We start from the raw sequence: 22,474 nt of genomic DNA, 5'->3' as shown, positions 1-22,474 counted from the left end.
CTTTCCCTTTATTTCTCAGACCGGCTGACACTTAAGGAAATAGAAAAGAACCTACGTGAAATAATGTTGAATTATCGGGGGCAGGTTCCCCCGATAGGTTTCAACATAAGAATTTTGGCAGGACATAAACATTGATTCTACAGCACTAATTATGCAAAGAAGCAGGAAAACACAGTTCATAATAGGGAGCAAAATCAATCAATTGGAACTTAGTAAGAAATGGCACAGATGATAGAATTAGCAGGCAGGATATCAAGATATTTATTATAACTGTATTCTACTCAGGATGCCAGAGAAAATGTTAAACATGTTAAATAGAGACACGGAAGACATTAAAGATCTAAATCAAATTTTTAGTGATAAAAATTATAATATGTGAGATGAAAAATATACGGGATGGTTGTAAGAGCAGATTATACACTGCAGAAAAACAGACTAATGAATTTAAAAAAAACCAAAACAATAGAAATGAAGCACAGAGAAAAAACTGAAAAAAAAGAGAGAGAGAGAACATCAGTAAACTGTGGACAATATCAAGCTGCTAAATCATGTAATCAGAGTACTCAAAAGGAAGAAGGGATTGTGAGGCAAAAAATATTTGAAAAAACCAAAAATTTTCCAAATTTTATGAAACTATAAACCCACAGACCCAAGAAGCCCAAAGGACCCCAAACACAAGAAACATGACATAGATTATAATAGCGCACTGCTGAAAACCAGTGATAAAGAGAAAATTTCCTAAAAGCAAGGAGAGAGAAAAAAGAAATATTATGTACAAATGAATAATAATAAGGATTACAGATGATTTCATGTTGGAAGCAATGCAAACTAGAAGACAATAGAGTAACATCTTTAAAGTACTGGGGGTAGAAGAAGCCCTGTCAACCGAGAACTCTATACCCAGCAAAAATATCTTAAAAATGAAGAAGAAATAAAAATATTTTCAGTCATACACAAGCTGAGAGAACACATCACAGATTTTCACTACAGAAAGTTCTTCAAGCAGAAGAAAAAGGACATCAGAAGGAAACTTGAATCTACACAAAAGAATGATGAACACCAGAAGCGGGAAGTATATAGTAGTTATAAAATCTTTACTTTTAATTTTAAATATTTACAAAGATAATCAATTAAATCAAAAATTATAACAATGTGCTGGGTGGCTTATAATATAGGCATAGGTAAAATGGATGACAATAGCACAAAGGACCGAAGGCAAGAAATGGAAGTCTATTGTTGGAAGGCTCTTAGACTATATGAAGTGGTAGACTGTGGTCAGTTAAAAAATTTACACTACATATTCTAAAGCAACCACTAAAATTTCACGATATAGAGTTATAGCTAATAAACTAGCCAAGGAGATATAAAGAAATAGAAAATAATCCAAAAGAAGGCAGCAAAAAAGGAAAAAAGGGAAAAAATGTAACAAATGAGACAAAAAGAAAAATAGTTTTCTTTGTTGTGTTACTGGTTAAACACAGACATATCAATCATACATTAAATATAAATAGTCTAAACCAGCATTTGGCAAACTTTTTCCGTAAAGGGCCAGATAGTAAATATGTTAAGCTTTTTAGGTTAGCTTCTTTCTGATTTTTTCAACCCTTTAAAAATGTAAAAACTATTCTTACCTCACAGGCCATACAGAAACAAGCCACATGCTGGATTCAGCCTATAGACTGTTGTTTGTGGATCTCTGGCCTAAACATCACAACTAAAAAACAGAGACTGCTAAATTAGATAAAAAGCAAGATCCAAGTATATTCTCCCTACAGGAAACTCACTTTTAATGTTAAGACTCAAAATGTTAAAACTAAACAGATGGAAAAAAACTATCATATTAATGCTTATCAAAAGAAATCCAGAGTGGCTATATTATTAGACAGAATAGATACAGATCAAAAAAATTACTAGAAGTAAATATAGTAGTTTCATAATGATAAACTGTTTCCTTCATAAATAGGACATAAAAATCCTAATGTTTTTTTACCTAATAACAGTGTTTCAAAATACATAAAACAAGATTGATGAAAATGCAAAGAGAAATAGACAAATCCACAAATATAGTCAGAGATTCCAATATCCGTTTCTCAATAATAGAGCAAGTAGACAGAAAATAAGTTATGATATAGAATACCTAAACAACACTATTAACTAACTTGATCTAACTATTATAAACTAATCCACCCATAATAGCAGAATATACATTGTTTTCAAGAGCACAAGAAATATTTACTGTGATAGACTATATTCTGGACAATGAAATAAGTTTCAATAAATTTCAAAAGATTCAATTCATAAAAACTATATTCCCTGCCCACACTGAGGTTATATTAGAATAACAGAAAGCTTCTGGAAAAATCCCTAATTATTTGGAAACTAAATAACACATTTGTGGCCAGGTGTGGTGGTGGCTCATGCCTATAATCCCAGCACTTTAGGCGACGGTGGTAGGAGGATCACTTGAGGCCAGGAGATGGAGGCTGCAATGAACTATGCTCACGCTACTGTACTCTAGTCTGGTGACAGAGCAAGACCCCATCTCCATTATATATATATAAAATCTTTGTGTCCTGGGGTTAGGCGAAAAATTTCTTAGCTATAGTACCCAAAAGCACAATTTGTAAAAGGAAAAAAAATGGATTTTATCAAAATTAAGTAAGAACTGCTCCTCTTTAATAGAAAATATTAACAGACTAAAAAGACTTGGCAAAAATATTTGAAAGCCAAATTTCTGATAAAGGACTTGTATTCTTCATATATAAATAACTCTGAGGACTCAATGAGAAAACAAACAACCCTATACAAAAATGGGCAAGAACATTTGAAAAGACATTTCATTTAAAAAGATGCATGAATGGCAAAAAAGTACATGAAAAGATATTCAGGATTATTAGTCATTAGGGAAATGCAAATTAAAGCCACGATGAGACCGCTAAATATTAATACCTATTAAAATGAAAATACTGACCATACCAAATGTTGGTGAGGATGTTTAACAACTGGAACTTTCATACACTGTTGGCAGGAATGTGACATGATAAAGCCAACTTTGAAAATGAGTTTGGCAGCTTTTTAAGTAGTAAAACATACATGTTATGTAACTCAACGATTCTACTCCTAGGTGTTTATCCAGGAGAAATAAAAAACAAAATATATGTCCAAGGACTTGCATGCTATTGTTGATAGCAGCTTTATTTATAATTGCCAAAAAACCCAAAACTTGGCAACAATCCAAAAGTTCATCAACAGGTGTATGGGGATAAAGAAACTATAATGCCTAATTGATCTGCAATAAAAATGAACTTTTGAACATGAAACATTATAGATGAACCTCAAAATAATTTTATTGTGTGAAAGCAGTCAGACAAAATGGAATACATACTGTATGATTTCATTTATATAAAATTCTAACAAATACAAACTAGTCTACAGTGACAGAAGGCACGTCAGTGGTTTCCTGGGAATGGCATGGGGTCCACAGGACCTGGGAGGCAGGGAAAACAGCTCAGTGCATATGATCACTACCTTGTTTGTGGTGATGGTTTCAAGGTGCGCACACATATAACACTTATCAAACTGTATCCTTTCAACATGAACTGTTTATTTTACACCAATTATATCCCAACAAAGCTGTTTCAAAAAGTCAAAAGAATAAGATAGTCAAAGCATGTCAAAGAATAGCACATCTGTTATAATCTCATTGAGATTAGAAAAGAAAAACCGAGGCCAGGCTCGGTGGCTCATGCCTGTAATCCCAGCACTTTGGGAGGCCGAGGCAGGTAGATAACCTGAGGTCAGGAGTTGAAGACCAGCTTGACCAACATGGAGAAACCCCATCTCTACTAAAAATACAAAATTAGCCAGGCGTGGTGGCACACGCCTGTAATCCCAGCTACTTGGGAGGCTGAGGCAGGAGAATCCCTTGAACCCGGGAGGCAGAGATTGCAGTAAACTGAGATCACGCCATTGCAATCAAGCCTGGGCAAAAAGAGCAAAGCTCCGTCTCAAAAAAAAAGAAAAGAGAAGAGAAGAGAAGAAAAAAGAAAAAACAAACCAACCTCAGTCACGCTGACTACATGGACATTGATTTAGTACTGTTCTTCCAGTTGAATGCCTGAGTTCATACCCATTTTTTCATATGTGCTGTGTGTGCTGTGTATAATAAAAATGCAAAAAAACCCAATAAAATTAATTTTCTTCAATGTAGATGTATTACTTTTTATTTTTTTGAGATAGGGCCTGGGTATGTTGCCCAAGCTGGAATGCAGCGGCTATTTATAGGCATGATAGTAGCATACTGCAGCCTCAAACTCAAGCCATCCTCCCACCACCTCAGCCTCCCAAGTAGACATGTATCACTTTTATAATTAAAAGAGTCATGGATTTTGTTTTTAAGTTTTTGAAAAACAGCGCCAGTTTAAGATGGTCAGACATAAAGCATTATCTGGGAACAACTGTATTCTCATATTTGCTAACTAGCTGCTCAAGATTAGACGAAAGCTGATTTAAAATTCCTTCTGGGGGCTTTTTCCAGGAATGCCATTCACTGCATGGTCTCTGCATTTATTACTTACGCTACTAATTCTATGGTTTTAAAGCAGATTCTAATGTTTTATACTGGATTGATTTATGAGAGGCCATTGTATGCAGTGGGTGAGAGCATGAACCTGGGGCCAGACTTCTGGGGTTCCAATCCTAGCTCCCACATACAAGCTGTGTGATCTGGGCCAAGTTACTTAACTTCTTTGCCCCCCAGTTTTGTCATCTATAAAATGAAGGTAATAACAGCCCCTACCAGTCAGTCTTGTAAGAACAATCAAGTTAATAGATGTTAAGCACTTAGTACAGTCCTGGGCTAAGATCGGTGCTACGTAAGTGTCCGCTGTTACTAAACTGTTACTTTTAACTCTTTCATCAATGTCTCGAGTTACAATTTTAATTGTGTATTTTCTCTGAAAGGTCAGGATCTGGTTGATAATGAGTGCCTGTGGAAGATCTGTAATTTTACCAAGGATAAAAATTATAATGGTCAGGTCTTTTTCCCTATAGCATACAAAATAATGAGAACTGTCCCGCCACACTGATTATCTGGTACTGAGATGCTTTCTGAGTAGGCATGGTTTACTTAGAAAAACATTCTGGAGTTTCAGGATAGGGGTTCTGGACCCAGAGCCAGATTTTTTTTCTGCAACCATGTGAAAGCTACGGAAAATCTGGGGCCCTCAGTGTTCTCTTCTGTAAAATGAGGAAACAGAGCAGCCTGATCTACACCTTTGGGGTCCCCTGGCTTTGGTATCTTTTGATTGTAGTCTAAGTAGATGGCAGAGGAGTATCTCTGAAACTCTTCTCTTAACAGCTAACTCTGCTATTTTTAAACATGAGCATGTACCAGATGATCCACTTTCAACCTGCAGCAAGAAAAATTCACAGTCAAATGGCTGCCATAATCCATCATGTGCCTCAAGTTGTACAAGCTGAGATCTATACAGCTCTTGGGTGCTAAATGTCTCAATCTATAAAAAGAGATGGGTGGTATTTCATAAGCTTTGGATACACTAAAATAACAGAGAGTTGTCAATTTTAACACTCTATTATTTTCGTAGCCGTAGGACACTTGGCCCAGCAACACAGAGGTGGTTGAAAGTGCTCCAGTCCCTAGTATCCATGTCAGATATGAGACGCTGGCCCGAGCCATAACACACCCTGACCTCCAGCCAATCTGACTGCAGTAATGATTCTCAGCAGGGGTGGGAGTGGGCTGAGGAGAGGCAGGGGAAGCATAAGAGAAGCATCTGGGGAACTTTTTCCAAAATACCCATCACCTTCCCACCCACCGCCATCCTGCTGTGCCTTCGCTGGAAAAGGGCGTGAGGATGTTGACCAGGTGTATTTTGAAAAAGTGTCCCAGGAGATTCTAATCAAGGAGCTCCCACTCACTGCTCCCCCCACCCCAACCCTTAGGCTAAGTGTCATCGGACAAACACAAATGACCATGAACACACACACACACACACACACACACACACACACAAACACTGTGAGAGAAGGGCAGCTTCCAAAGATGTGGGGTCCTCAAACAGTGACTGGTGTGAAGGTAGAACCTCTTCCTGCTGCAACAAAGAGGAATGAGGATAAAATATAACTTTTTAACTCTATAGCTGAGTCCAGAAGTAAGAGACATTCCTCAACCAGAAATGGGCCCTAAGGCTGGGGTTCCCACGACCAGGAGGGGTGAGAGACTTGACCCTGGGCACCAAGGAAGTAGGCACTGGGGTCAAGATGCCTGTGCAAACCTTGCCCATTGGTGAAAGGAGCCGGGAAATTCTGCCAACAGAAGCCTGGCTCAGCTCAGGGGCTAAGAGGTTGGGGGAGGAGGGCAAGAAACTCTCCCATGAGAAATGGAGCCCCTAAACCTCCACCTCAAACGTGGCTGGCATCTAAATTCGCACAACCTGGTATGCAAATCCCAAGATTCTCATGGTCTGCGGACACTCAGCAGAAACATATGCAAAATTGCTTTACAGCAACACTTTACAGCCCAAGGCACACTGCACTCTCTTGGAAGAAAAAATGTGCTCCCTCTAAATATAAGCTCACAACAAAAAATTGCAAAGCAAACGAGAAAAAAGTCTACTATGAGAGAGCAGCCAGCAGACACAAAAACAAGATGAACTCCCCATCGGTGATGGAAAAATAGAACAACGTGCACAAGATTATACCATAGCTGTGTTTAAAGTGACTAAAAACCCATTAAAGTACAATTTTTTTAAAACTAAACAAGCTGGCTCAAAAGTTCATAAAAGAAAAGAAAAATTAAGAAAGAAGAGTTGGAAATTCTGAAAAAAGAATAATGAAAAGGAACTAATACTATAAGATATATCAATGGAATAGTACAGAAAATCCAGAAACAGATATACATCTCCCAAATATTTACTAGAATTTGGTATGCAGTAATTTTAGGATTTAAAGTAAAAAAAAGTAAGTTATTTGATAAATGTTATAACAATGGGGGTAGTTATCCTAGAGGAAAGAAGTTTAATCCACACATTCTATGCCAAGTTAAATCAAACATGAAAGTACTTGAATAAGTCACAAAACACTTTTAGTGAGGAAAGCCATTTAAAAGGTAACAGTAGTCCCAAGACCCTTAAAGCAAAATATCAAACTATTTAAATATACAAAGTAAACATTTTTTACACTAAAACATGTCATAAGCAAAGTTTTAAAAATGTACAATTGAGACAGAAATTATAGGTTCTTTTTCCTCCAAGCATATGGTTAATTACTCCATTACATAAAGAGTTCCTACAAATTAATACAAAAAAAGAATCCAACAGAAAACAATGGGCAAAGATATGAGTGGGTAGTTCATAGAAAAGGACAAACAGTGACCTTAGTCATTGAAAAGAAACTCAATCTCACTCATAGAAAGTGACACAAATTAAAACTACACCGAGATCATCATTTTTCACCTGTCAGATGACCAAAATTTCCAAGTAGGTTATCATCTACATTACAAGAGATGGTATGGCCAGGTATCGATGAATATAAGCTCTATGGAAGGTAACGAAGTGATATTCATTAAAATTACAAATATGTATACCTTTTAACTCAGCAATTCTAATAATTTAACCTAGATGTATACTTTCATATATGCAAATGATATATATAAATGATGTTCACTGCAGTGTTATTTGTAACAACAAAAGACTTAAAACAACCTAAATGCCTATCAATAATGAACTGGTTAAATAAATTAGGTGCACCCATATAATAAACTATGAGGCTTGAAAAAAAAAAAAAAGGAAGGACTTTAGGCATTAGTATGATTACCTCTGAGGGAGTGGGACTATGTGCTATATCGTACCTTCTAAATATTACCTAGCCTTTTAAATTAAATAAAAACTAAAAAGAAGATAAAGAAAATCCAAGTCACAATAAAATTTTACACAACACTATAGAAAAGTTAACTGGCATATTTATTTATTTATTTAGAGTCAGAGTCTTGCTCTGTCTCCCAGGCTGGAGTGCAGTGACATGATCATGGCTCTCTGCAGCCTTGACCTCCTGGCCTCAAGTGATCTTCCTGCCTCAGCCTCTTGTGTAGCTGGAACCATAGGTATGCTCCACCATGCTTGGCTAACCTTTTGATTTTTTGTGGACAGGGTATTACTTTGTTGTTGATATGGTTTGGCACTGTGTCCCCATCCAAATCTCATGTTGAATTGGGATCCCAAGTGTTGGAGATGGGGCCTGGTGGGAGGTGACTGGATCATGGGGGTGGTTTCTAATGGTTTACTACCACCCCCCAGTATTGTCTCATGATAGAGTTCTCACAAGATATGGTTGTCTGAAAGTGTGGAGCACCTTCCCCTCTCTCTCTCTCTCCCTTGCTCTGGCCACGTGAAGACTGTGCCTGCTTCCCTTTCTTCTTCTACCACAATTGTAAGTTTCCTGAGGCCTCCCGAGAAGCAGAAGTCTGTATAACCTGCAGAACCATGAGCCAATTAAACCTCTTTTCTTAATCAATTACCCAGTCCCAGTATGTCTTTATAGCAGCATGGGAATGAACTAACACAGTTGCCCAGGCTGGTCTTGAACTTCTGGACTCAAGCGATCCTCCTGCCTTGGCCTCCTAAAGTTCTGGGATTACAGGTATGAGCCACTGTGCCCGGCTATGGTATATTTGGAAAAGTATGAGATACAATTTCTAGAAATGAAAAATATAGTCATCGAAATGAAAAACTCAAAAGAAAAAAAAAAGACCCCCAAACCAAAGACAATTAAAGAATCCAAAAACAATAAAAATAATAAAAAGTAAAAGTATTTTAAAAGACTCAATGAATATGTTAAATAGTAGATTGAACATAGCTGAACAGAGAATTAGGCCAATATAAAATGTATCTGAAGAAATTACACAGAATGCAGCAAAGATAGAAAGGAAAACATAAATGAAGGGTCAAGGGACCTGAAATAAATAATGAGAAATCTCATTACTTGAAATGAGAGATCCAGAAGAAGAGACTAGAAAGAATGTGCATGAGGCAATAGTGGAAGAGTTAACAGCTAGGAATTCTCTAAGATTGATGACAAAAGTCATGAGTTGTCAGATTCAGAGAGTGTAAAGGGTATAGCACGATGGGAAAATACCCTATACCTAGACACATCATGGTGAAACTTCAGAACACTATTCAGAACACTGGAAATTTAAAATAAAAGCAGTCTTACCGGTAACTAAGGAGAAGCAACAGATTACCCTTAAAGGTACAACAGTTAAGACCAACTAGGGTCTTTTCTTCAGCAATCATCACAGCCAGAGGACAATGAAACTGAATCTTCAAAACACTAAGGGAACACAGGCAATCTAGAATTCCATGTATAGCTAAATTGTGATTCGGAATTGAGGCAAAATAAAATTTACCTTTCACAGTCTTTTATAAAAGACATCCAAAAGCACACTCTTCAGCAGAAAGAAAATTGCTGGCAGTGTTCCACTGAATGGCAAGTCAACAATTGTTCATCTGTTTTCCTTTGGTTGACTTTTGGGATGTTTCTATTTTGATAAAAGTGATGGTTTTATGTATTTATGTAACTACTAAAGTATGTATTACTTAAGTTATTTTATGTGTAAAGCTGTTATGAACCTTCTGGTTAAGTCTCAGCACACTTACATACTCATTTCTCCTTTGCATACACCTAAGAGTGACAACTGCTGGATTCTAGAGTAGGCATATGCTTAATGTTGAATGTTGATTATAGAGTAGGCATATGTTTAATGTGGAAATTGTCAAAAAGCTTTTCCATTCATACTGAATACTTTTCAGAAACTGGAAATCCCTAAATTTAGGACTGAGAAGGAAATTCCACAAACCTATCCTATGCATAATGCTCCATGGTACGAAATGAGAAATATTTTCTTTAAAGTAAGAAAAAAGACAAAAAAGTCCATTATCACCATTTGTATTCAATATTGTCTCAGAGGGCATCACAAAAAATATAAATAAAAGATATAACAACTACAAGTGATTTAAAATATATGATTTGCAGATTATATGGCTGTTTTGATAGAAAATTCAAACGACTCTAAAAACCATTTCTAGAAAGGAGAACTTAGCAATGTGGCTGGATAGAAGATTAATATATAATATATAAAAATTGCATACCCATATTCCCAACAACTCACAAGAAATGCAATGTAAAATAATCTCATTTGTGGTAAGAACTAAGAGGTACATAGGAATAAGTCTATGTGTGAATCTTTTTGGACAAAATTACAAAATACTGGAGTAGGACATAAAAGAAGACCTAAATAAATGAAAAGATCTGGTACATTCATAGGGGAAACTTGATATGGTAAAGATTTGGTTTCTTCTCAAGTTAATTCTGTAAGTTCAATGCAGTTCTAATAGAAATCCCAACAGGGTTTTTCAGGGATCTCGACAAGTTGAATAAAAGGGCAAAAGTAGCCAAGAGAACTCTGAGGAAGAATAAGAAGGGTCAAGTCCCTGCCAGATATTGTCCTATAACTAAAAAAAAATAAATAAAACTATATAGCTTAGCCGAGGGATAGACAACTTGACCAGTGGAATGGAACAGAATGCTCAGAAGTAGGCTCAGGCATAAATGGGGACTTGGTACATGACAAAGATGCTATTAAAATTCATTAGATACCTTGCAAAAAAACATTTAACTCAAGTCTAATTAAGCCTCTAGACTTAAGTTCAAGGAAATATGATGCAAAATCAATGCGGTATATCATTAGGGAATAGATAAAACTGAATATGATACATTCTACAAGAGAACTGGCCTTCCAAAACAAAATAAAAAGCAAAACAGCTAATGAAAACATTCTGGGGACACCTGGGGAAATATGCATGTGGTCTACATAGTCATGATATTTAGCAAATATTATTAATTTTTTAGGTGTGATTATGGTATTGTGGTTATATAGGAGAATGTCCTTACTTTTAGAATGCATAATGAAATATTTAGGGGTGAAAGTCATGATATCTGCAACTTATTTGCAAATGGCTCAGCAAAAACTACATACTCACCTATATACACATACTGGTATATGGCAAAATGTTAAAAGTTACTAAATCTAGATGGTTGACATGCAGAACAGCATGGTATTATTTTTAGTCTTTTCTGTATATAAATTTTTTAAATAAAAAAATTGGAAAAATCAGAGGGGAAAACATTATATATTCAATAAGGATGCTGAGAAAATGGAACGTCCTTATATAAATTAATTTCCTAATTCACATTTTGGAAGAAAATAAGAAAAAAGTATACAGTATCTTTAGAAGAAAAAAATCCCTATTTTCTTGGATTAAAGAAGTATTTCTTAAATAAGGCACAGGGCATAGTTCATGAGAGAAATACTGGTAAATTTGATTTCACTAAATTAAAGATATATATAAATATAAGGCACCAAAACAAAGTAAAAAGTCAGGGAGACTAGATAGTATAACTCAGAAAAACTAATACCTCAGAAATATAAGGAACTCATGTCTATCAGTAAAAAGTATGGGTAGAAAAATGTGCACACTATATTAGTAGAAAAATTCACCCTCAGAGAAGAAGCTCAAACATCCCAAAAACATATCCAAAGTTGTATGATCTTGAAAGTAATCAACTAAAATGTGACACTATTGCACATACATGGATTAGCAAAACACAAAGACAAAACAAATACAGTCATGCTTTTAGGGAATGGAAATTCTCATATAATGCTGATGTTTCAGCTACTTTAAAGACAAATTTGACTGTAGCCAATAACACTGAAGAGTTGCATAATAAATCATTTAGAAATTCCATTCCTAGGTGATCTCATTCATCTACACAAAGACGTTCACTGCAGTACGGTTTATAATTGCCAATACAGAAATAATCCAAATGTTAATTAAGATAAAAATGGGTAATCTGGGTACATTCATAAAGTGAGATAGTATGCAGTCAAAACAAATAACCTAGGACTCATATCAATATGGAAAATCTATAAAATGTAATGTCAAACAATAAAGTCGAGTTGACAAAGGATACACACTACCACAGCATTCCTATAAATTTAAAAATAAAAAAAAATAAACCAAACAAACAAATCAACCAACCTAGGTTTTGTGATAAGTATACGGTAGGATGTTTCCAAGATGACTGCGGATGACTCCTGGCATTTACCTGCGTCGTCCCCTCCCACATCATATCAGGGTCATTCTGTGCGACCAACGGAGTGGGGCAGCAGTGAGAACATGCTGCTTCCAAGATTAGGTGATGAAAACCTGGGGTTTCTATCCTGGGTGCCCCGTCATGCTCTCTCGGATCACATGTTCAGGGCTGACCAGAGGACATCAGGCAGTCCTGGAGTGAGGTCCAAATGGTGAGGGAAGCAGGGCTCCTGCCACCACAACAGTGAGCTTGGAACCAGCTCCTACAATGGACTTCAGACAGCTGCAGCCTCATGAGCAATGGTGGGCCAGAGACACCCGGCTAAGTGCCTCATCAACTCCTGGCCCTAAGAAACTCCACAAGATGGCCAGACATGGTGGCTCAAGCCTGTAATCCCAGCACTTTGGAACACCAAGGTGGGAGGATCGCTTGAGCCCAGGGGTTCAAGACCAGCCTGGGCAACGCAGCAAAACCCCATCTCTACACAAAATACCAAAAATTTTCTGGGCATGGTGACACATGCTATAGTCCCAGGTACTTGGGAGGCTGAGGTGGGAGGATTGCTTGAGCCTGGGAGGTGAAGGCTGCACTGAGCCAACATCATGCCACTGCACTCAAGCCTGGTAAGAGAGTGAGACCCTGTCTTTTAAAAACAAAACAAAACAAAGACAGGCTGGGTGTGGTGGCATATGCTTGTAAACCTAGCACTTTGGGAGGCCACGGCGGGGCCGGGGGGTCAATCACTTGAGCCTGGGAGGTGGAGACCAGCCTGGGCAACATGGCAAAACCCCCTCTAGAGAAAATACAAAAAATTATCTAGGGCAGTGGTGCACACCTGTAGTCCCAGCTACTCAGGAGGTTGAGGTCAGAGGATCACCTGAACCAGGGAGGTTGGGCTAAAGTGAGCCCTGATCATGCCACTGCACTCTACTCTAGCCTGAGTGACAGAGCAAGACCCTGTCTAAAAATAAAAAATAAAATAAAAAAAGAAAAAAAAGAAAACAAAAGAAAGAAAGAAACTGCAGAAGGTGATAGAGAGTTGTGACATTTGGGGGTAAGTTGTTACATAGCAATAGATAATTAATAGAAGGTGCACATGCCCATCTAGTAAAATTATAAATGTATAGTAATTCAGATAAGAATATACACTAATCTCAGGATAATGAGTAGTGCTGGGGGAGGGGGTGGGGTGAAACTTTAGCTATACTTGGTTTTTTATTTCTAAGACAAATTTTTAAAGAAAATATGACAAAATATTAAATCTAGATAGTCCATAAATGCACACATAGTATATGATTTTCTGTAACTTAAGGTTTTTTTGTTACTTAAACATTTTATAATGAAAAATAAATACTTAAAAAAAAAAAAGAAAGGCAGCATAGCTATTCCATTTATTAGGGTTCTATCGAGCACTGTCTGGGCCGTTAATTGCAGCCCTGAGGAAAGTAATTACTTTAATGGCGAAACAATCCACATGGAAGAGGGGACATATATCAGTGTATTTTCCCATGGCTGGTAAAATCTAACATTTAAATACCAAAAGCTCAAGTACATTTTTAAAAAAGGAACAAAAGCTGTATATAAGAGCATCTAGCAAATAACTCACAGTGAAATTCAGGGAAAAAAAAGTTGCCCTGCCTAGAGACGCCTAATATTACACCATTTCCAACAGTAATTCACTGAGAAAACAAATGGTTATTAGATTCTGCAGTATTAAGTGGACCCTCTAACAGCTGTTGCCATAGTAGCCTCTACTTTAATGATATTTAATGAGAGAACAGAAATTGTGGACAAAATTGCCTAAGTTCTTAGATTCTCTTGGTTAAAAAGAAGTAAAACAGTCACAGTTAGGAAATTCAGTGATATTTCAGTCCCACCTGCTGCCACAGAGAAAGGTCTCACTCAATGATAACTGAACAGGCTAAAAGAGTTATTGCACATACATAAGGTAAACATTTACACATAGCAAAGATAAAAAACATGACAATGGGAAGGGTTCCAAGTCTGCTCACAAATGCAAAGCGAAATACGTCGGCACAGATATTTATGAAGACATGTCATGATGTGTCATATACATACACTGGGTTGGATGATTTTATTTATACAGAATATGAATTGGCCTAATAGTCCACTGCAATCTTTCCTTTTAATATTTCTGTTCTCTAAATTGTTACTTTACTTTTCTGAAAGGCCACTCTGCTAAAGTCAGCTAATGAAGCATCCTTTATCTGCTTTATTTACCAGGAGTCCTGTTTTAAGACCATGTTTTAGGTATTAAAAAATAGTAACTGAAATCTCTCCCTCCTGGAATAATTCAGCTGTGATCACTTGGCATTTTGCCTGTGTACCTCATCCTGGCAGCTCTTCACCTGGGTTGAGATCAGAGTGAAGGTCTGAGTTGAGGCTTCCAGGATGGCCCAGCAATCTCACCTGTCCTCCAACAGCGTCTCATATCCATCAAATTCCTACAAAACCCCCTTTCCTTCAACCACATGGTGATCTTGTATTTCCCTATCGATTCCCAAATTTTGTTCTATTCTACCTCATTGTCATCGATTCTTTTTTGACCTCACACTTAATTTTTCTCTCCTTTCACATATCACCAGCACAACTTTGGAATTCCATTCTGCTCCTGACTTCAAACCCAATGTACCATTTTTTTTTCAGTCTCTTGACATCTTGTTTTGAAAGGCTGCCGTTCTCCTGACCACTTTTCTGATTCAGGCTCTTCCTCCACTTGTCTCCGGCAATTCAATCTCATGCCCACTTCTGTGATTTGCCTCTGCCTTGCAGGCTTGGACTCTCAGTCAGAAATACCTAATCCTCCCATTAAGCCGTGTGTGGTGTGAGCACTCCGTTTCAAGCAAACCGTGAAGTCTGAAGACATTTTCAAGCTTATGGGGTTTATCTATCCTCTTGACTTTCTCATGCTATCCTGGTTTCTCTGAAGACCTGCCAACCCTCCAGCTAGACTGCAGAGTCATGCTGCGGGCTGCCCTCACACATCTTTCAAAGGAATCCCACGAGAAACAGGGGCTCCTTGGTCTCATTATATTAGGATTTCAAGAAATCGCAACGATAGGTGTTCATTTCCTATTTCAAAATGAGGACAGCTTTATGGACAAATAAATGTACACGGCTTATGTGTGAAATTTCTTCCTTACTCATTTTGCTTAAACTGTCGAAAAATTGCAATTCAACTCCAAGGTTTCACGGCATATTTTTACTCCTAGTGACTATCAGGACTCACACTCAGTAAGCATTTCCCATGTGCCAAGCACTGAAGTTTCACATGGATGATGTCATTTAATTCTCTCAGCAACCCCATGACCCATTTTATTGAGAAGATTTTGATCACTGGTGATAGGAATGAGTGAAACAATTCAATGGTAATTGAGTTGCCATCAAGAATTGCTTCCAAGTCAGCACATTTACATAAAGGACTCTTGTCGGGGATCCCTGTTCGATGCCAGAATCGCTCACCTGCACAGGGGCTCGCTGCGAAGCCCACCCTCTTCTGGGCTCTGTCGAAGATGACGTAGAAGCCCTCCATCACCGTGGCACCGATCACCAGCGCATTTGTGGATGGGGAAATGCCGAATCGGTAACATTCATAATTCAGGCCGGCCCCCATCATGGGCTGAATGTAAAGCTGTTTGTCGGAGAGGAGAGAGCAAACAAACAAGAAAAAGCACAAATCAGGCAGTATCACAAAATTGCTGAGGTCACACGCATGCTCAGGACCCTCCCAGGCGCTGGGGGGAGTCACGGGAGAAGAAAGATGATCTCACCCTGCCATCCAGGAGGAGAGAAGATCAAAAGCATGGTGATCAATATTATTGATCAGTGACAGCACAGGTGACCCACATGCACCACCTGGAGTTACACACAGGTGCACACACCCAGAAGACGTCTGTCCAACTGTTTGCTGATGAAAAGAGTCAAACTCTGTAAAATATTTTGAAGAGATTTATTCTGAGCCAAGTATGAGTGACCATGGCCCATGAGACAGCCTCAGGAGGTCCGGAGAACATGTGCCCAAGGTGGTTAGGGCACAGCCTGGTTTTATACAATTTTGAGAGACATGAGACATCAATCAAATACTTTTAAGATGTCCATTGGTTTGGTTCAGAAAGGCAGGACAAGTCAAAGTGGGGCTTCCAGGCTAGAGGTAAATTAAAAATTTTCTGGTTGATAATTGGTTAAGTTTATCTAACCTGGGATCAATGGAAAGGAAATGTTTGGATTAAGAGACCAAAGTTTTATTGTGCAGAGGAAGCTTTTAGTTAGCAGGCTGTGAAGAAAAGAGGTTGTGAAATGTGTCTTACAGAATTTAAAAGGGTGCCTTCATATATACCATGGAATACTATGCAGCCATAAAAAAGGATGAGTTTATGTCCTTTGCAGGGACATGGATAAAGCTGAAAACCATCATTCTCAGCAAACTATCACAAGAACAGAAAACCAAACACCACATGTTCTCACTCATAAGTGGGAGTTGAACAATAAGAACACATGGACATACGGAGAGGAACATCACACACCAGGACCTGTCAGGGGGTAGAGGGCTAGGGGAGGGATAACATTAGGAGAAATACCTAATGCAGGTGACGGGTTGATGGGCGCAACAAATCACCATGCCACCTGTATAACTATGTAACAAACCTGCACATTCTGCACATGTACCCCAGAACTTAAAGTATATATGTATTAAACAAAAAAAAACAAAACAAACAAACAAAAAAAAAAGGTTGCCTGACTCTTAGTCGATTATCTTCTAGATCTGGAAAGAATAAAAAAAGGGAAAAGGGGATTCTCTATACAATGTAGATTTTTCTCACAAGAGACAACTCTGCAGGGCAATTTCAAAATATGAAAAGGAAATATATTTGGGGTTAAAATATTTTGATTTCTTTCCTTATTTGTTATGTGATGTTATGCCAGAGCTAGGCTGGAAAGCAGGCCATGTTATACAAGGTTAAATAAAACCCTTCTGGTGAAACTTTATGGTGTGTAGAGCGGACTCCCCAGGCCCCTTAGGTAGGAATTTTGGGCAAGAGAATTAAAAAAAAAGTCAGAGTTTAGTCCTCATGTCCATCTGGCTATCTGCCCAGCAGTTATCTGCTGAGGACTTCACATGGCTCAGGTGCTGCTCTCTGCACCAGCACTACAACGGTGAATGACACACAGTCCCTGCTCCCTCGAGGCTTCCAATCTAGGGGGAACCAGGCAGTAACCATAGGGCGGGAAGTGCCCCCACAGACACCCTCTATGGGTACTGCTGACCACTAATCACTTCGTCCGTGTGGACGCTTTCTTCACTTGGACTCTAAGAGGGCTGCATTCTTCTCCCTAACTCCCTGGCTGCTCCTTCTCAGGCACTGTATTGGATTTCCTTCATCTTCCTCCCCTGCAAGCATCGGAGCACTCTCAGGCTCTGGCCTCCTCTCAATCTTCCCTCCTTGGGTGACCCATCTGGCCCCACCCCATGGCCCTAGGTCACCCCGTGATCTAGCCTGAGACTCCCAACTCCTCCTCTCCAGCCCAGACCTGGGCCACCATTGCCACATGCTTGTGTCCGCCTGCCTGCCCACCTCTCAATCGGCATTTCCCGTGTAACCTGTAAAACCTGAATGCTGGCTGTTCCCCCCAAATCAGACCTCTCCCACAGTTCTCTGTCTCAGTAAATTCATGATTCACCCAGTTACTCAGGCCCTATAGTGCTGGGCCAGTCCTTTTCTCTCTTAGCCTGCATGGAGACTGTAACCAGACCCTTGTGAGCCTTCCTGTGAAACCGAAGCGGAATCAAATCACTCCCTCGCCCAACTCAGGCCAAGTCCTCACTGTCCTCGTCTCTTGGGATCCACTGCAATGGCTCCTAGCTGGCCCAGAGCTCATCATGCGCCCCTCGGGCAGACAGAGTTTTAAAAGTAGGCAGCCTGACGGAGGCAGGACAATTTCCTCAGTGAAAAGAGGAAGAAGTAATCAACATCAGAGAGAAGACAGCATCTGTGGGTCAGCAGTTCTGCTATTCAGGAGGGCCAGTTCCCACAGGTGCTGTGCAGTGTTAAATGAAGATGAGTCGGCCATTGATATCCCTGGAGCCAAGAGTATGTGGGGAAATGGGTCAAACCTGAACACAATCAGTGAGCAAATCAATATCCTACCAGCAGTAACAATTTCTTGGCTTTTGGATAGCAAATAATTCAAATGCAGGCAATTAGAGAGTACAGCAGCTGAGTATGACAAAATGCCCCTGTTTGGAGAAAAGCAAGAGTGCAAAATGAGTAAGAAAACGAACCTTCCTGTGAGTAATGATTAGCCTTAAAGGGCAGAGACAGGAAGAAAGACTTGGATGAAACAGGCAGACACACGAATACACAGAGTCCTGGGCCTTCTGGCTGTAGGGGGTTTGAGGGACTGTGAGGGGTGATTTTGGAGGGAGCAGAAAAGACTGAGAGGAGACCAGCAGGGAGGGGCTGCCATGTGACCACACTGAAGAGCAGGTCAAGTAGGGATAAAGTAGAAGCTGTGAAGAAACCTTAGAGCTCCCCTGTGGGCTGCCAGCTGCTGTTTTTTAACAGGCCACATAGGATTCAGCCCATGGGCTTTTGGAAAATAGTGTTGGGTATAGACAAAGTTTAAAGTAATTGCTTTCGAATTGACTCTTTTCTGCAGGAGCAATCGTTTGCCCACTTATTAGGGCTCATGTTTGAGAGGTCCCAGGTAGGGCCCCATCCTAAAACTCTGAGGACAAGAACCCTGGCGGTTTCCCCTGGTGTTAGAAAGGCTGCTGGGCAGAGCCTTTCTGCTGGGAAACATGGAGCGTGTGGGGTCTCACCAGGTGATCTTTCCCAGCTTCCTACTGGAGTCCCCTCCCAGAAAGGGAATGGAAAGCAAGTGGAATGTGATGCTGAGTAAGAAATCAGGAAAACAGCAGGCAAAGTGGATTTTTAAAAATAAAAAATCTGAACATGTCAAAGACAACCAAAAAATATCTACCATTATAAGTGAAAGCAATAATGAATTCTTATGCAGAGATGTGCAAATGAGATGAAATGCTCCCAAACCCCTCTCATTCTGCTCCTGAGCTTGCCCAGTGCTGGGTCCTAAAAGCTATTGAGGAAGCCAAGCAAGCCTTCCCGGCTGTGACCCACCTGGACTGAGGTTTCCCCCTAATGCCTGCCTTCTCCTCCTGCTTCTTACGAGTCCTTGGTGCCTGACATTTATTCAGCAGTGCACACCTGGGTCCTCAAGCTGGGTTTTGACATTATTACACACCACACTGATGAAATAATGTCCACATTTTGCCGCTCTACTAGCCAAAATGTAATCATCAAGAGCACGTGATTTTTTTTTTTTTTTTTTGAGATGGAGTCTCACACTGTCGTCCAGGCTGGAGTGCAGTGCCACGATCTCAGCTCACTGCAACCTCTGCCTCCCAGGTTCAAGCGACTCTCCTGCCTTAGCCTCCCAGGTAGCTGGGATTACAGGTGCCCGCCACCAAGCCCAGCTAATATTTTTATATTTTTAGTAGAGACTGGGTTTCACTGTGTTGTCCAGGCTGGTCTCGAACTCCTGACCTCGTGATTCACCCTCCTCAGCCTCCCAAAGTGCTGGGATTACAGGCATGAGCCACTGCGCCCGGCCAAGAGCACATGATTTTAAAGATGATTTAAAGATGCTGAAAACATAGCATTGTAATATCATTCAGTGCAGTGCCATTCATCCAAGGATACTGCATTCTTCTGAAAATGTCTTTGGTAGGTATTATTGTTTCTCCTTTATAGTTAAAGAGACACAGGCAGGGCTAAATGCTTTGCTCAAAGTTACGGTGTGAGGGAAGGGCAGTGCTGAGCGTGTTACTCAAGCCTCTCCTGAGAGCGTGGTATCTCCTGTCGGCCTGAATTTCTCCTGGAGCTTTCAATCCTTTCCCCAAGATCTCTCCTTTTCTGGAAAGCACATCCCCACAACGTAAAGATGAAAATGGGAAAAGGCAGTAGTACCATTTACTTTTTTTCTCCTGAAATTACGCCTCCTTCCTTGTCCCTGCAGTCCAATTCCCTTTATCTCAAATTCATCAATTGCAACAAAGACATATTGATGTGTCCATTCCACAAACAGTTCTGATGTACTTTCCCTCCACGGCCTGGTGGCGTTGGGGAAGGAAGGACAATCTTTTACCCCCACAGCTCTCACCTTCAAGGAATTTATAATTAATTGAAAACGAAATAGAAGTTAAGAAAACAGAAGTCAAATGAAAAAGGCAACAGCATAAAACGTACCCTAAAGATAAGATTCCATGCCAGATGAGCAGACCAGAAAATATGCGTGCTGAGTGGGAGGTGCAACCTCACAAATGGGTTATTCTGCTCGGCATGGTTTCAACAAAAGCTGGGTTGTTTGAGTTGAGTCTTAAAGGATGGGAAGAATCTGGATATATGGGCGGAGTAAGGAAGGGAGGGCATTTCAGGCAGGGGGGTTGGTGGAACAAAGGTTAGGAGACAGTTGCAGGCAAGAGGCCTTGAGGGTCAGTGGCCACCCAGCAGAGGGTTGGGGTTCAGTGAAAACACTGAGGAACTAGGAGGGGTCTGGTGGGAGGCCATGGACAGCGATGCCAGGAGCGAGCCCTGAGCATTTAAATCATGGGGACGCACTGCTTACTCATAGCAGGGGAGGCTCGGGTGAAAGTGGTGGTTTAGGAAGACTGATCTGACAACAGTTTCAAAAAGAAGAGAGGGTGGGGGCTCAGGAGCACAGCAGCACTCTGCAGGTTACAGAAGTGCTGGTGAGAGCCACACGCGCAAGGGCTCAGTAACGGAGGGGAGGAGGAAGAGGTGAGAAATGGGACTGAGGAAGACAGACGTGGTCCATTTCATTAGACGTGTAGGATAAAGAGGGAGTCAGTGGGTACTGGGAGTATAGGAAAAAAATGATGTCTTCACCTTGGGCAATCTAGTTTTTCTTTTTCTTTCTTTTTCTTTTCTTTTTTGTTTTTTGTTTTTTTTCTGAGACAGAGTCTCACTCTGTCGCCAGGCTGCAGTGCAGTGGTGTGATCTCGGCTCACTGCAACCTCCGCCTCCCAGGTTCAAGCAATTCTCCTGCCTCAGCCTCCGGGGTAGCTGGGATTACAGGCATGCACCATCACGCCCGGCTAATTTTTGTATTTTTAGCAGAGACGGGGTTTTGCCATGTTGGCCAGGCTGGTCTCAAACTCCTGACCTCAGGTGATTTGCCTGCCTTGGCCTCCCAAAGTGCTGGGATTACAGGCGTGAGCCACCGCACCCAGCCCACTTTTATTCTTTATACGTAAACAGGAAAAATGTATAAGGGTGATGTGGTAGGTGTGACAAAAATGTCTCCAGGTCTTCCCTTTTCCTTGTAGCCACACCCTTGGCAATGCGGCTCCATGGCTCCTCCCAGTGCGAGGGGCATCTTTTCCCTCATCCTCGGAATCTGGGCTAGCCTTGGGCTTGTTTGGGCAGCATCATGGAAGAGATAGTGGCTAGTTCTGGGCTGACACTTCAGGAGCCCCTGTGTGGTTCTTTTCTCTCTCCCAGGTCCCTGTTACCACATGTGACTCAGACACTGAATGGAGAGAAACGCATGGCTCTGTTCCTCCATCCACCTCGCCACCAGATATGTGAGTGAGACCATCCTACACCAGCCTGGGTGGAGGCCAACCGGGACCCAGCCAACCACCAGCTGAGTAGAGACACGTGAGTGAGCCCGGCCAAGGGACACCGCCCTGCCTGGACTCAGGAGCAGTAATATGTGTGGCTGTCTTTTGCAGCATTATTGTGGTGATAGAGATCTAATGCAGGTGTGACATCTAATACACGTGTCATGCATGGAGTGCTTTCTCTTTTGCATGATAAAAAGAGCAAAGCACAAATCCAAGTTCATACCTGAGGCAGGATTGTGATACGGAATGACCTGCTGGAGTTCTCGTCTCTCAGGTAGATGGAGATTTTAGGGAAGTAAGACCAAGGTGTTTCCGAATTCGTCCAGCACGCCAGCTGGGACCCAGTCCAGAAACCATCAGAGAATTCTGGAATCTAGACAAAACAAGATCACATCAGAAACCATGACTAGTCTGGCACGTCAACAGGAAACAGCTCCAGGCTTTCCTAGCCACCTCGCCAGATGCCCACAGGGATAAACAATGTTTAATTTGGACAGAACAGCAGGGACATTAGTCCCCTGGAAGAGTGACGGTGATGACAAAATAATAATGATTAAAATTGTCAAGACACATGAAGTACCTACTAGTACTAGTATTAGACACCCTTATAAGCCCTTT

General features: G+C 40.4%; 1 protein-coding gene across 4 annotated transcripts in view; it reads right to left on the bottom strand.

The window, feature by feature from the left end:
* BACE2 (beta-secretase 2) overlaps positions 1-22,474 on the bottom strand; it is a 114,371-nt gene that overhangs the window by 9,550 nt on the left and 82,347 nt on the right. For 2 of the 4 annotated variants that reach the window (NM_012105.5, XM_017028314.2), the window contains 2 exons: positions 22,080-22,229; positions 15,655-15,823 (listed from right to left, as the gene is read on the bottom strand). In NM_012105.5, the coding sequence (NP_036237.2) occupies positions 15,655-15,823; positions 22,080-22,229 (319 nt within the window). The remainder of the gene's footprint in view (positions 1-15,654; positions 15,824-22,079; positions 22,230-22,474) is intronic. The other 2 variants (NM_138992.3, NM_138991.3) reach the window with 2 other exon arrangements.

Source organism: Homo sapiens, chromosome 21 (genome assembly GCF_000001405.40).
Source record: "Homo sapiens chromosome 21, GRCh38.p14 Primary Assembly".
NCBI classification, from domain to species: Eukaryota; Metazoa; Chordata; class Mammalia; order Primates; family Hominidae; genus Homo; species Homo sapiens.
This window is presented reverse-complemented; position numbering and strand designations above follow the sequence as displayed.